Genomic DNA, 16,215 nt, shown 5'->3' on the forward strand with positions numbered 1-16,215 from the left:
TACCTAGCCTGCGATTTACAAAAGCTGGTGTCTCTCCCTCATTTTGCATTCACCCTCCAGTAGCTTCCTGAGAAAGAGTACAATAAAAGGAATTTCTGAGACTGTGCATGTTTGAAAGTGTTTATATTCAAGCTTCACACTTAATTGTTGGTTTGGCCAGGTATAGAATTCTCTGTTAGATGTTAATTTTCCTTCAGAATATTGAAGGCATTGCTTCCTTATCTTCTGTCTGCCAACACAGTATTTCTCTGGAAAAATCCAAAGCTATTCTGATTCCTGATCCTTTGTGTATAACCTATTTTTCCTTCCGGAATCTCTTAGAATATTTTCTTTTTCTTTTCTTTTCTTCTTTCTTTCTTTTTTTTTCTTTTTCTTTTTTTTTTTTTTTTTTTTTTTTTTGAGATGGAGTCTTGCTCTGTTGCCCAAGCTGGAGTGCAGTGGCACAATCTTGGCTCACTGCAACCTCCGCCTTCCAGGTTCAAGCGATTCTCCTGCCCTTAGCCTCACGAGTAGCTGGAATTACAGGTGTACACCACTACGCCCAGCTAATATTTGTAGTTTTGGTCGAGACGGGGTTTTGGAATCTTATTTAAATTCTTGTTTTTGAAATGTACACAAAAGGTGACTTGATGTGGGCTTTCTTCATTCACTCTGTTGGGCACGCAGTGTTTTTATTATTTGAAAACTGGAACTTTATGTCTTTCAGCTTTGGATATTTTAATGTATCATTTCTTTGATAATATTCTCTCACTTTTTTCTTACCCCCTTTCTGGCACTCTTACATCACATCTGGAACAATCCTCTAATGTCCTTTTCCTTTTCCGGTCTGTTTTACTGTTCTTTGCCTTTTTTGTTCTGCTCTCTGAGTGGTATCTTGAACCTTTAATTTCCTAGAGCTCTTTCTTGTTCTTTAAATGCCCCTTTTTTTTTCTTCTTGGTGAATAAATAAATTATCTTATGCCTCTGAGAATATTGTGGATTTCTAAGAATTGCTCTTTGTTGTTTGCATTGTTTCTTTTTCATCTGAGTTTCTTTTTTTCTATTTGTTTGTTTCAACCTTACAGGCTTTTTATTAGTGTCTTGGCCAGAGCCAGGAGTAGGGTGAGGCAAGCAGAGAGCCCAGGGTGCAAAATGTCAGGGGTCCCTCAGGCTCAGGTCCTGCAAGTGCAGGGTTGGCAATTGAGAGTGAAAGCCTCCTTACGTTTTGCACTCAGAGTGCATTGCTTACCTCACTGATGTCCTAGCCCTGGGCCCTGATCTTGGCTGTCCATACTTAGGGTTGAGATATCCATAAGATGACTGGAAGTTCTGTGGCATGAATGGGGCCTGTCCGCCGGCTTCACTCTAAAATGATTGGACCATGCTGGGCGCGGTGGCTCACGCCTGTAATCCCAGCACTTTGGGAGACCGAGGTGAGTGGATTGCTTGAGCTCAGGAGTTCCATACCAGCCTGGGCAACGTAATGAGACCTCATCTCTACAAAAAACACAAAAATTAGCCTTGCATGGTGGCGCGTGCCTGTAGTCCCAGCTACTCAGGAAGCTGAGAGGGGAGGATCGCCTGAGCCCAGGAGTTCGAGGCTGCAGTGACCCCAGATTGCACCACTGCACTCTAGCCTGGGTGACAGAAGGGGACCCTGTCTCAAAAATAAAACAAAATAAAAATAAAATAAAATAATTGGACCAGAACACAGACATTTAATTATGGCATCTCCAAATGTAGACTATCTTAGTTTGGGTTCCTTTCAAAGCAGAGGCTGAGAAGAGGATTTGAGAACAGGTGGTTTATCTGGGAGTTGGTCCTGGGAAATTGGGGAGAGGGAGCCAAGAGAGTGAGACGGGGAAAGAGGAAAAGCCAGTAAAAAGGTGCATTATGAATGAGGTCATCCCTGTAGGAAACAGGAGGCTTCCTTGGAAACATCCACAAGGCTTTCAGAATTGTCCACTGAAGAACAGGAAGCCAGAGCCTTTAAACCAAAGCCCCCACCCCCATCATGGAGGCTTCTCCCTGGGATGAAGGGAGAATGGTTTAGTCTGCTGTTAAAAGTCAGCCAGTTAAGAGAAGGCCTTGAAACTGAAAGCAGAAAGAGACTTAATGCTCCCTCAAGGGCAAACGCTGTGCTGCCTGCATGAGGTCAGGCTGATCTTGTAGAAGACAGTGCACTTCAGCAGCTGAAATCGGTGGGGCTCAAGGGGAAGGGACAAGAGGTACTAGAGACATCTGCTACGGAGAGTAAAAGCCAGCCTACTCCTCAGGGCAATAAGGTGGTTTCCAGGGAGCTCAATGGGGAAGGGCAGCAGGGGTGGGGATGGTGGGGTTGTCATGCGTTTAGACTTTTACTAATTGTCCCGGTTTTCATTTGACACGTCATTCCCATCCTCAGCTGTGTTAACTGTGACTAGGATCGGGTGTTCTAGAATTCATACTAGTCCCACCCACTCTGCATATTGATGGCCTTCTCAGCCCACTTGGGCCAAGATTTGGCCATGCCAGGCTGCCCTCCACATGTACGCCCGCCCTCTGAACCCTGCTTGGGCTCTGAAACAATGCTCCAGGCCACCCCATGGCATGGATACCCTATATGCCCCACCCACACTCTGACACTCTATGCCAGGCTGCCCCCGACCACATGGGTGAGCTACTGACACCTCAGGATCTGACATCAAACACTAGCCCACCCTCCTTCCCCGGTTTGAGCTCTGACACCCCAGGCCAGGCTACCCATTGGCAGTAGTGTCCTCAGCTGGCTTGGCCTTTGACAGCCACACTGGGCCCCACCCCTGACATGGCTGGCCTCACCTCGCTCACCATGCCGACCCCCAGTGGGTGCCTTTCCCCCACACACACACCCTTTTTTTTGAGACGGAGTTTCACTCTTGTCACCCAGGCTGGAGTGCAGTGGCGCAATCTTGGCTCACTGCAACCTCCACCTCTCAGATTCAAGCGATTCTCCTGCCTTAGCCTCCAGAGTAGCTGGGATTACAGGCGTGCACCACAACGCCCAGCTAATTTTTGTATTTTTAGTAGAGACGGGGTTTTGCTATGTTGGCCAGGCTGGTCTCAAACTCCTGACCTCATCAGGTGATCCACCTGCCTCGGAGTGCTGGGATTACAGGCATGAGCCATTGCTCCCGGCCGCCTTCTCCTTTTATCTCAGGTTTGGAAACCTGCAGGAGGCCACCCCACACCCCTGGCAAACACCCTCCTTACTCCACTTGGGCTCTGGCTTTGCATGCCGAGCGGCCCCTGTGTAGATGCCCTCATGACCCGGCTCATGTCTGACACCGTCTTGCCAGGCTGCCTCTTCAGGGAGATGCTGACTCCCTAGCTCCGCCTCTGACTCTCCAGGACAAGCTGGTCCCCACGTGGACATCCTACTGGCTGCACTTGGACTCTGAGTCCCTCTGCCTGGCTGCCTCCGGCATGGATGTCTTCCTCACTCTGCTTGGGTTCTAGACCTCACATCAGGCTGCCCCTCCACACGGATGCCCTCTCCTCCCTGCTCAGACTCAGATAGTCCCCAGTAGACCATCCTGTGTGGATGCCCTATACACCCTGCTTGCAGACACCATTCTTGACCTTCTAGGGTCCTGTTTTTTTGAGATAGGATCTCGCTCTGTCGCCCAGGCTGGAGTGGAGTGGTGCCATCAAGGCTCACTGCAACGACCTCCCTGGCTCAAACGATCCTCCTACCTCAGCCTCCCAAGTAGCTGGGACCACAGGTGCAAGCCACCATGCCCAGCTTATTTATTTATTTTTGTTTAATTTATTTATATTTGTTTGCAGAGATGAGGTCTCATTATGTTGCCCAGGCTGACCTTCTAGGTTCTAACACCTGTGCCAGGCTAGCCCCATGCGTGGACGCCCTCCTCAGGCTCTGTATGCCACACTGGGTGGCCCCTCCACACGGATGATCTCTTCACCCTTCCTGGGCTCTTACTCCCTGCTCCAGGTCATCCCCCTGTAAGGCCATCATCTTCAACCCACTCAAGCACAGACTCCCGTGATGAGCAGACTCTCCCGACCCCCATGCACTTCGACTCCCTCCTCTTGGTTTTGTTTTGTTTGTTTGTTTGTTTTTTAGATGGAGTCTCACTCTGTTGCCCAGGCAGGAGTGCAGTGGCACGATCTCAGCTCACTGCAACCTCTGCCTCCCAGGTTCAAGCAATTCCCTTGCCTCAGCCTCCTGAGTAGCTGGGATTACAGGCGCCTGCCACCATACTCAGCTAATTTTTTTTATTTTTAGTAGAGATGGGGTTTCCCCATGTTGCCCAGGCTGGTCTTGAACGCCTGACCTAAGCAATCTGCCACCTTGGCCTCTCAAAGTGCTGGGATTACAGGCGTGAGCCACTGTGTCCAGCCATTTATTATTTTTATATAAGTATTTTAAAAATATTTAATATTTTAATTTAAATATTTAATTTCTTAAATTAATTATTTAAATTAATTGACCCTTCCAACATATATTTATTTTTCCCCATTTCTTCTTACTGTGGTTATATTTATATGGCATACAATTGACCATTTTAACCATTTTTAAGTATACAGTTCCCTGACATTAAGCACATTAACATTGTTGTGCAACCAGCACCACCATCCATCTCCAGAACCTTCCCATCATCCCAAATTAAAATTCTATACATATTAAACACTAACTCTATTCTCCCTCCTACCCCAGCCCCTGGCAAGAACCACTCTACTTTCTGTCTCTATGAGTTGTGCTACTCATATGGGGACATAACTCTTATAAGTTGAATCATGCGATATTTGTCCTTTTGGTTCTGGATTATTTTACTTAGCATAATGTCCTCAAGGTTCATCCACCTTGTAGCATGTCTCAGTTTCCTTCCTTTCCAAGGCTGAATAATATTCCATTGTATGGATATTTGGTTCATCCATTCACCCATCAATGGACATTTGGTTTGCTTCCACTTTTTGGCTAATGGGAATCGTGCTGCTATGAACACCGGCATACAAACATCTGTTATAGAGCTTAATATCGCATCAGATTTATGCTACAACAAATGATAAATCCACATTGGCAAAATGTCATCAAAATGTATACATTAAATATGTGCAATTTTGTATATCAATTATACCTCAATAAAGCTGAAAAAATTAATACGGGCAAGAGGGAGTGTTCTGCTTATCAATTGTGACATAACAAACCACACCCAAACTTAGTTTGTTAAAACAACAATGATCATTTCTTTTGCTCACAAATCGGCAGTTTGGGAGGGGTGACTTGCGATATCCGGGATCTTAACTGGAATGACCTTCACCGCTGAGGGCTGAAACAGTTAGGGGCTGCCCAGCAGCTCCTTCTCTCCAAATCGTAGTCTCAGGACCTCTCCATGCCATTGCTTCATGTGGTTTCTCCAGCATGATGCCCGTTGAGTAGGTGGATGCCCACGTGGAAGCTCAAGGCTCCAAGAAGCCAGTGGAAGCTACTAGGCCACTTTGGCCACATTGGGCAGCGAGTCACTGAAGCCAGCCTAAATTTAAGAGGAGGGGATGCAGACCCCATGTCTCTATGGGAGGAATGTCAAAGAATTTGTGGCCATCTTTAATCCACCGGAGGGAGGTCTGTTTGTCTTGCAGGTGCTCCACTCTAAAGAATATGAGTATCTCAGGCAAACAGAGCTGCCCAGGTTGAGTGCCAGTAAAACTGCCTTTGCAAAATTATAACTGAGGAAATTATGACAGTGAAAGAAATCAGACCTAACCAACTGCATCTTGCTTCTAACCTTTAAGCTGTCCTTGTTCATTCCTAGGCATAGGCCAAACTAACTTTGGGAAGGAATTCAGTTCATGGTTTGACTCTGAAACAAAATTGATAATATCCCTTTCCCAAAAAGACCCCTTCTTGCCTGGAGACCAGTCTGCCTTTGCAAGACTAACAAATTAGCTACAAGATTAGAAATTACATTTGGGGGTCATGCAGCCTCTGGCTCCAAGAGTCTGAACCTCCCCAAATTGGTCCTGGGGATAACGTCACTATTGTAAAACCTAAGATGAGTGCTTGAGCTATTTTGCAGACCCTGCACTCAATGGATCAGCTGGCACCACCCAGACCAGTAATCTGGCTCAACCAGTTCTGCCATCACACCCAGGAACAGAAGACAGCAAGAAAAACACACCTCGACCCCCTATGATTCTATCTTCAACCTGACCAATCAGCACTCCCCACTTCCCAAGACCCTACCTGCCGAATTATCTTTAAAAACTCTGATCCTTGGCTGGGCATGGTGGCTCACGCCTGTAATCCCAGCAATTTGGGAAGCTGAGGCAGGCAGATCACCTGAGGTTAGGAGTTTGAGACCAGCCTGGTCAATATGGTGAAACCTCATCTCTACCAAAAATGTAAAAATTAGCTGGGCATGGTGGCAGGCGCCTGTAATCCCAGCTACTCAGAAGTTGAGGCAGGAGAACTGCTTGAACCGGGAGGCGGAGGTTGCAGTGCCTGGGTGACAGAATGAGACTCCATCTCAAAAAACAAACAAACAAATAAACAAAAACTCTGATCCCCGAGTGCTTGGGGAGACTGATTTGGGTAATAATAAAACTCCGGTCTCCCGCACAGCAGGCTCTGCGTGAATTGCTTTTTCTTCATTGCAATTCCTCTGTCTTGATAAATCGGCTCTGTCTAGGCAACGGGCATGGTGAACCCATTGGGTGGTTACACTAGGAGCAGGAGTAGGATGAAGCCACAACTCTGGGGAGACAGAGGTAGAAGAGGAAGATGGAAGGGTGATAGGATGAGGGTGTTTTTTCTTTTGGTTTCCCCTGTGAGGTAGACTTTCACAAACTAAAGCCACTCTGAAAAGAACCATGAAGCAACCCTTTGCTTCATCTGCTAGACCTGAGGTTTGTTCATGTTTGTCTTTGAATTCTTTCTGGTCCTGGACCAGGCCCGTGTGCCTTCCCAGTCCTGGAGGTGCATAACGGTGCTATTTTGCATACCCATGGTGTGAAATAAATGGAGATAATATCTGTGTCTTGTGACAGGCTGGACTGTGGCTTTAATGCTTCATGTGCCAGAGAGTGTGTGGGAGCCTGTTGCAGTTGAGTAGACAAGACTTTCCGGAGTTCTCTAAGGAATACGTTCAGTTCCAAGTGACAGAGCATGGAATTGCAACATAATACTGGTTTTTTAAAAAATGGGTTTTTTGTTGTTGTTGTTTGTTTTGTCTGTTTTTTTAAATACAGATGAGATCTTACTTTTTGGCCAGACTGGTCTCAAGCTTCTGGCCTCAAGTTGTCCTCTCACTGTGACCTCCCAAAGTGCTGGAATTATAAAGTGTGAGCCATCGCACCCTGCCACAATGCTGATTTTTTTTTTTTTTAAACAGAATTTCACTCTGTGCCCAGGCTGGAGCGCACGGGCACAATGTCGGCTCACTGCAACCTCCACTTCCTGGGTTCAGGTGATTCTCCTGCCTCAGCCTCCTGAGTAGCTGAGACTGTGGGCATGAGCCACCATGCCAAGCTAATTTTTGTATTTTTAGTAGAGACAGGGTTCCACCATTTTGGCCAGGCAGGTCTTGAACTCCTGACCTCAAGTGATCTGCCCATCGCAGCCTCCCAAAGTGCTGGGATTACAAGCATGAGCCATCATTCTGGGCCATAATGTGGTTTTGATTGTATAAATACTTTGTCCTATATCAGGAATCTCTTCAACTGGGCTGTGACGACAGCCCCTTTAATATCCTCTAAACAAATATGGTTACAATATATTTTATCATGGGACACTTTTGAGAGTGAAATGAGATGCTACTAATAATTATGACAATAAAGTAGGCCTAAGCCAGGACTGTCCCAGGAAAAGGATTAAGATGGCCTTATCCCCAGGCCATCTATATGCTCAATGTCATCAGTCAACCTGGATGGAGCACCCGCTCTGCTGTGCCGGGAACAGCGCTGGGCTCCATGACAGATTTGGGGGTGAAGAAGGACCTGGTTCTTGGTGCTTCCTGCGGATTTGCAGGAGGCACACCTGTAAAAATGGACATGAGCCAGTGTCTGGACACTGGGTATGGCAGGAGGTCAGACGAGGTTCAGTATGAGTGGGGTGGTCAAGGCAGTCCTCAAAAGAAGGAGGCACATGGAATGGGTCTTGAAAGATAAGTGGAGGCCGGGCGTGGTGGCTCATCCTTGCACTTTGGGAGGCCGAGGTGGGTGGATCACCTGAGGTCCGGAGTTTGAGACCAACCTGGCCAACATGATGAAACCCTGTCTCTACTAAAAATACAAAAAATTAGCTGGGCGTGGTGGCAGGCACCTGTAATCCCAGCTACTCGAGGGACTGAGGCAGGAGAATCACTTGAACCTGGGAGGCGGAGGTTGCAGTGAGCTGAGATCGCGCCACTTCACTCCAGCCTGGGCAACAAGGGTGAAACTCCATCTAAAAAAAAAAAAAAAAAAAAAAAGGTAGGTGGATTGGGGCAGGGAGAGGGAAGCCTTCTCTGCAGCTCACATTGTTCCTATCAGTGGCATGTGGACTCCATGTGCAGACATGTGTGGGTTCGAGGGGAGAGGAATCCAGTGCTAGGTCGGCCTCAAAGCCAAGCAGCAGTGCAGCACACGGGCAGAGGGCGAGAGAGTGGAGCAAGCCGGGAAGGCTGAACCAAAGGACCCAGCCAGGAAAGGATGGGAGGGCAGGAAGAGCTGGGCCTGGAACACTTCCTGGAAGCACTTTATTTTCCTCCCAAATTGGGTTTCCTTCCAGAGACCTTGATTCAGTAGGCCACCTTCTTCATGAGGGTATTTCAAAAATTGAACAAATCAGAGTGCCAGCCACTCTGGCCTTTTTGTAGTCACTGCTTCTAACTTAGCCCAGCCTCAAATCTAGACATTTGTGAAAGATCATGTGATTCCTCTCCTGAAAATATTCAAAGCTCACCCCCCAGCCCTTGTTTATAGTAGTCCTCGGGCTAACATGCAAAGTCTCCCTCTTGTTTATAGCATAGTCCTTAGGCCAACATGTCAAGCCTCCCATGGTCTGGTGGGCAGCACTGTTCCAGTTGCAAGTGACAGAGACAGAGGCACAACTCAATGTGGTAGGGAAACACCACAAGAGCAGGGTCTTTGTCTCTTTTGTTCACCGCTCTTTTTCCATTCCTAGAATAGTGCCCAGCATTTAGAAAGTACTTGATAAGTTTTGCTGAATGAATAAATGAGACTAGCTTAAACAAAAGGGACAATATGTGCTCTGGTCACTGAGGGACAGGAGTGGAGCTGATGCGAGAACCACCTGGGTTCAAGGACTCAAGCAATGTCATTAGCTCTCTCTCTGTCTCTGCTCTCTGTCTGTCGTCTCTCTCTTTTATGTGCATGTTTTACTTTTTTATGTGCATGCTGTTCTCATTCTCTCCTGCTAATATTCCTCGGGTGAGAGACATGGCAGAGCAGGGTTGGGGAGGGCATAGCCATATACAGCTTTAGGTTTAGAAGCCACAGAAGAAAGGGAGGCTCTCTCCATTTCAGCATTGAACATAAAAAACAAAAACAAAAAAACAGGCAAGGCTGAGTATGGTGGCTCACCACTGTAATCCCAACACTTTGGGAGGCTGAGGCTGGAGGATCACTTGAGCCCAGGAGTTCAAGACTAGCCTGGGCAACATAGTGAGATCCCATCTCTAAAAAAAATAAAAAACTTAGCCAGGTGTGGTGGTGCGCCTGTTGTCCCAGCTACTCAGGAGGCTTAGGCGGGAGGATTGCTCAAGCCCAGGAGTTCAAGGCTGAAGCGACCCACATGCACACCGTCACACTCCAGCATGAGTGACAAACTGAAACCCTGTCTCAAAAAAAAAAAAAAAAAAAAAAAAAAAAAAAAAATCCCAGGCAAGTACTTTGAGTGGTTAGGCTGGGGTCACGTGAACTTTCTTTACCACAATCATTGTGGAAGAGAGGATGGGATACTGTGGTTTGCCTGACCTGGGTCACGTGCCTGGTGAAAGGCTCAGCAGTTTACAGAGATGGGCAGCCCTTCCAGAATCCCATGATTGCAGTGGAGGAGGGGCAGTTCAGCAAAGGAAAGAGCCAGGGAACTGTTATCAGAAGACAAGGAGTGCTGGCAGGAAAAACAAACAGCCAAATGCCTAGAGACCAGTGCACAAATACTCCCTCAGAATGAGACTGGAGTGGGAGTCCTAGGACGGCCTGGAGGGGCCTGCAACAAACTGGAAATGATTTTGTGAGGTCTCAGTTTTATCTGTTTAAATTTGTGCTTGTTTTTACAGAAAAACAATGCTGTAAATTATTTATTATGGATACCAAGCTGTGCTCTAGGAAATTGTGCCATCTATATTCTGTGGCTTTTGGCAACCCATGGGACACTGTCTTATACCCTCAAGGGCTTGCATAGCCCACGTTGAGAAGGAAGACTTGACCTTAATTTCCTCCAGATTGCCCTGTGGTGACACCACATCCATTCCTCCAGTGCTTATGTCATTACCCCCTGCCTGGAATGTCCACCCCTGTCCTCTCTGCCTCTTCTGGCCCCACCTATCTTTTTTTTTTTTTTTAAAGAGATAGGGCCTTGCTTTGTTGACTAGGCTGGAGTGCAGTGGCCATTCATAGGCATAATCATGGCGCACTGCAGCCTGGAACTCCTGGGCCCAAGTGATCCTCCTCCCTCAGCCTCTGGCGTAGCTGGGCCTACAGGTGAACACTACCATGCCCAGCCCCACCCACTTTTGCAGGTGCTCATCAAGTCCCATATCCTTCATAGAGTCTTTCCAAGTCACTCCCTGTGTCCTTTAGACCCAGTATATTACAATGGAAAAAGCCCTGAAGCTCAAGGTTCAAGTTGTAACATTGCCCAATTCTCTGCACGACCTCTCTGCAACTTATTTTCTCTCTCTGCAACTTGGTTTTCTCTTCTGTAAAATGAGGGGCTGGACTTGTGTAAAATGAGGGTTTGTACCCTGTTAACAAAGGGAAGCCCTCAGCACCTTCTGCACCTGCCCCTCCTCAACCCCTCTTGGCATACTTCCAACTCTGAGAAGCAATCTCTGTACTGGCCAAATTCTAGGACATTTCACTGGTTCAGAAATTCAGCCGGGCGCAGGGGCTCACGCCTGTAATCCCAATACTTTGGGAGGCTGAGGTGGGAGTATCGCTTGAGCCCAGGAGTTCAAGACTAGCCTGGGCGATATAGTGAGACCCTGTCTCTCTGTCTTTCTCTATATATACATATATAGAAAGAAATTCAGGGGCTGAAGATTTTTTTTTCACTGGTCAACGAAAGGGGCTTAAGATCAATGCTCAATTTGGAATGATTTCTCTCTCTCTCTCTTTCTCAGCCCTAGAGGCGAGACCTCCCATTTAGAAAGGGGTCCCTCCCACACTCTGCCCCTATTCCATACATTTTGTCCAGCAGGGACTAGAGTGAGCCCTAGGGGAAAGGAGGCCACTTAGATGGTTGCTTAGCAAAGCAGATTCTCTGTGTGGTCTGACCTGGCTCAGACGAAGGTCAAAGCCTCAGCTGATCCCTGCTCTGTACCCAGTGGCAGACAAAGTATTCGTGTGTTCAAGGCCTCTCTGGCTCAGTATCACCTTAACCTCCGCTTCTCCCCTACCCGCTCCTCTATCCACAAGTAACTAGCACAGAGGTAGGCACCCAGTAAATATGCTCTGATTGACAGAGTGTGGCAGATAAAAATGCTTATGCTCCTTAAAGAGGAGTACACACATTTAAGCATGGGGACCAGTTTGGTTGTATGATTGTATGTTCTTAAGCAGAACAAGGGCAGGGCATCAGAAAATTGGAGGAATGGTCTCCTGTATCTTTGTAAATGGATATGTGTATATATATTTGCCTCACAACTCAGCTTCTCCTTTAAGGAATATGATGGATCTATTTTGAAAGTAATGTCGGCCGGGCACGGTGGCTCACGCCTGTAATCCCAGCACTTTGGGAGGCCAAGGTGGGCAGATCACGAGATCAGGAGATCGAGACCATCCTGGCTAACACAGTGAAACCCGTCTCTACTAAAAATACAAAAAAATTAGCCAGGCAAGGTGGCGGGCACCTGTAATCCCAGCTACTTGGGAGGCTGAGGCAGGAGAATCGCTTGAACCTGGGAGGCAGAGCTTGCAGTGAGCTGAGATCGCACCATTGCACTCCAGCCAGGGTGACAGAGCCAGCCAGACTCCGTCTCAAAAAAAAAAAAAAAAAAAAGAAAGTAATGTCTAGTCATATGGACTTGCTAGAGTGCCAAATATGTCCTTGGTGGGGGAACAGTTTCCCAAAATGCTACTAAAAAGATAGGAAGGAACTTAGATCCTCCTGTAATGTGTCTCTGTCCAAATCAGTGCCACTGAGGAACGCTAAAACCTTGGTAGGTGCCCTTCAGACCATGGGCCAGGTACGTGACCAAATGGTTCCATCTCTTACCAGAACAAGGATCGCCTAAATTGAGGTGTCACATGTGTTCTGCAACACCAGAGTTACTATGGAGCTCAGCTGAATTTGCGGGAAAATGCAGGGGGGGCTTTACCCGCATCTGCAAGAAGTTGGCTGAGTGGAAATAACCTAAATAAGGTGTTTTCCTGACTTGGGCATATCTCAAACTGGCCAATGCGTCTTGAGGCCCTGGGCGAGCATCCAAGTACCACCTTCCTGAATTGCTACTAGAGGAAAAGGAGCCTGTTTCAGCTTTCTATACTTCTTTAAATGTTACTTTGATTAGACATAGATAGCAGTTTGTTTACTAATATTACTATTATAACTCTGTCGTGGTTATATTTTTTAGTTATACTTTCTCTTTTCTTTGCCAAGAGCAAATGAAAACACATTTGCACTGCAGATCCAACTGAAGTTGTACAAAGGTTTCCCAGATATGTTTGAAAAAGTATTCTAGGCCCACTGCTGGCCAAATAGGAAGTCTTCCCCCACCCTTATGTCAGGGGTTCATGCTTTAAAAAAAATACAAACTCTTTTTAAAAATAAAATGTTTTATTATTGCTATAAAAGCAATGCATTTTATTGTTTATGCAAATATTACTTGGAAAATACATAAAAGTATAAAGAGAAAAACAAACATTACCTATAATTTTATACTATAATACTGTTACAAGTTTTGGTATATTTCTTCCTAGACTTTTCTCCATATGTTGATACAAAACTATGGATGCAAAATGATCCCAATACACTTATATTACATATTCAGGAACATATTGCAAAAATAATTCTGCATCTTACATTTATCACAGAAGTAAACCACAGATAGCCGCTGTTAGATTTTTTGCTTATTCCCTCCATCTTTTCATCTGTATATTGATACAAAACTATACATGCAAAATGTTCCCAATATATTTATAGTGCATATTAGGAACACATCGCAAAAACAGTTTAGTATCGTTTTTGATTGCCTATAGTGACACAAGTCAGCGATAACCACCTCTAGACTTTTGGTATACTTCCTGATAGCCTCTTTTCCCCATATTATTGATACAAAACTATGAATGCAAAATGTCCCCAATACATTTATATTACATATTAGGAACACATCGCAAAAATAGTTTAGCATCTTTCTTTGGTCACCTTTATACCACAACTCAGAGATAATCACAATAAAGTTTTTATATGTTTCCTCCTAGCCTTTTATCTGTATGTTGATACAAAACTATTCATACAGAATGCTCCCTATATACCTATATTGCAGAGATGGGAAAATATTTTGCACCTTTTTTCAATCGCTAAATGTTTTATCAGGAGCACATTCTCATGACATGAAAATTACTTTCAGAAACATTATTTTACATGAAAGCATCCTATTCTATTGTACTAGCTAGCTACGCTGTATTTTATTTGTCTAATCCTTTGTTGTTGGTCATTCAGGATGTTCCTAACTTCCATCCTTAAAATATTGAAATGAGCATCTTTATGCATTTTTTTTAACTGGGGCTTTCTGTTCATGTAGTTTTTATGGTTTTTCTTGACCACTTGTGTGGACTCAACATACTAAAAATGACCCTGTGTCTGTAATGCTTATAGCAAAGTGTTTTCCAGTTGTTTGCTTGAGCATAAATTCTTTATTTTAGCATTCTAGCACAAGTATAAAATCATATACCTTATGTAAGTTTCAATTCATTCAACAAACATTTAAAGCAATAAAGACACAAATAAAGGCATTCCCATTACACTCCTATGAAAACACAACTCATCCTCCCACCCCATCCCATAGCAACCCCTTTCTTCTTTGCTTAGGGCCCACTTTCCTCCTGATCTTTTCATTGATTCGTCTTGTAATACTTACCACATGTTTTGCTATGAAGATGAGTGGCTCCCAGACCTTTCAGTTATCAATCTGTCACAAGTGCACACTGGTATCTCGTGACATGATGATCCCCGAGATGTCTGAGATCTGTGCATCCTTGACCGATCCCAAATTTCTGTATCACCCATGACCCCTAAAGACTTTTTAGAGAATTATATTTTGACAACATAACAAGAAAACGTGGCATCTCACACACACACACACACACACACACACACACACACACACACACACACAAAACCATGAAAAAGTAGAGAAAGAAGAAACTTCAGCTCTAATCCCACCACCCTTAAGTAACAAGTATGTCTGTTTTGCAGGTTTCCTCCAGGTTCTGCTCCTATTTTTCAATCATGGTGTCCATGTGATTTTGTGGCCCTGATTTTTTTTAAGTTGATATCATAAGCATTTTCCAGGTTTCTGTATATTCTCTATCATTATTATTTGCAATGGCTGAAAAAGGTTCCATTGAGTGAGTGACTAGATTAAGTCAACCCCTATAGCTTGACACTTCATTTGTTTCCTTAAGATAATTTGATTGAATCTACAGAAAATAACAAACATGGGACAGAGGTTTAAAATGAATTTAAATCATGCTTTTTTGGTTTGTGCAGATTGACTTGTACACGGCTGGGTAACTTATAGTCACTATTTAGTAATCCTGGGGCCAATCTTGGGCCTCACCCAGGAAGTGTCCAATGTATAGGCCAAAGCTCATCATAAGACTAGCCAGTTTCACCGGGAATTTTTGTAACCAAACACATTCACCTCCATTTCCTGCTCTGGTCACTACTGCATAGTCGGTTCTGATGAACAGGTAATGACATAAGGAACACAGTATGAGGCCTGGAGGAAGAGCCCCCAGAGAGTAGCCTCAGACAAATCCTTAACCTCCAGAGGCCCCAGTTTTCTTGTCTGTAATTATTTTTTGGACTGCCTTAACTCTGTTTGTCTTTCAAGGTTGTCACAAATTAAAAAAAGAAAAAAAAGAAAAAACAAAGTATTTGGAAAAGTATGTAAACACACGATACAAAGGCAAGATGTTGGGATACTGATGATTCTGTGGCCACGCCTTTAGAAGGTCTGGTCTTAGGGTAATAGTCTTGTCTGGATGGCAGGTGGGGGTGGACATGGGGGAACAGGTGAGGGAGCTGCCTTGGGAGACTCAGGCTTCAAAGCAACCCAGACTCTCACTGGCAGGTTGCTGCAGTGTTCTGAGCTCCCTGACTCCAGCAGTGGAGCCAAGGCCATGTTTCCAAACACCCACCAACTGCTCAGATTATAGAGCTCAGTAGTGGAAGGGGGAGTGCTCAAAGGCCCAAGCAACCACAGGAAGTGGAAGTCTTTCGGGGCTCCTCCCTCTTGGCTCAATTTACTATCCCCACAGGGGTTTTAAGCCTGGCTGAACTTGCCAAAGAGATCAGCTGTGGAGCTGGGGAGGAGGGAAAAGGTGGCAGATAGGTGAAATATTATGAAAGAGCTAGCCGATCCTTGTTTATTCACTGAGGAGTAACTAATGGGTGGGCCTGAGTGGGATGTAGGGGGGCAGGGAGATACACGTTTGCTACACTTGATGTATATATACTCTTTTTTGCTTAAGAGTCATGTAATAACTCTAAATACAAATGCATATATAAAATTCTAGGGTTATGAGATTAAGTCATACTGCAGGCCAATGGGAAAAAAGATCTCTAAAAACATATGCCAACTTGCATATAGCCAGACTCAAGTCTTTTAACTTCTATCGATAAACTCATTGATCTTCCCCAAACATATTTTTTGAACCTAGTTTTATTTTCATCTTACACAGCCTCAGGAAAGCTGCCTATAACTCCCATCTCATAGGCTCAGGTTTTCTGCAAATGTTGCCCTGAGCTCTATAGCAGTCCAGGATTCAGGGAACGAACCCAGTCCCCCGCTGCCCCATTTGCCT

The 16,215-nt window shown here is 45.2% G+C and overlaps 4 non-coding genes across 4 annotated transcripts, besides 1 other annotated feature; all 4 read right to left on the reverse strand.

The window, feature by feature from the left end:
- Positions 2,062-2,161: a silencer, noted in NCBI's record as "silent region_21010". NCBI's record gives its function as "represses an Ori minimal core promoter by ATAC-STARR-seq in GM12878 lymphoblastoid cells {active_cell/tissue: GM12878}" and the evidence as "EXISTENCE:reporter gene assay evidence [ECO:0000049][PMID:35858748]".
- Positions 13,123-13,200, reverse strand: MIR450B (microRNA 450b). Its single transcript, NR_030587.1, has one exon. It is a non-coding gene; the product is annotated as a microRNA 450b (primary transcript).
- Positions 13,201-13,278: 78 nt separating this feature from the next.
- Positions 13,279-13,369, reverse strand: MIR450A1 (microRNA 450a-1). Its single transcript, NR_029962.1, has one exon. It is a non-coding gene; the product is annotated as a microRNA 450a-1 (primary transcript).
- Positions 13,370-13,445: 76 nt separating this feature from the next.
- Positions 13,446-13,545, reverse strand: MIR450A2 (microRNA 450a-2). Its single transcript, NR_030227.1, has one exon. It is a non-coding gene; the product is annotated as a microRNA 450a-2 (primary transcript).
- Positions 13,546-14,278: 733 nt separating this feature from the next.
- On the reverse strand, positions 14,279-14,375 carry MIR542 (microRNA 542). The gene has a single exon (NR_030399.1). It is a non-coding gene; the product is annotated as a microRNA 542 (primary transcript).
- Positions 14,376-16,215: the final 1,840 nt, after the last annotated feature.

The sequence above is a fragment of the Homo sapiens genome, chromosome X (genome assembly GCF_000001405.40).
Source record: "Homo sapiens chromosome X, GRCh38.p14 Primary Assembly".
Lineage (NCBI taxonomy): Eukaryota > Metazoa > Chordata > Mammalia > Primates > Hominidae > Homo > Homo sapiens.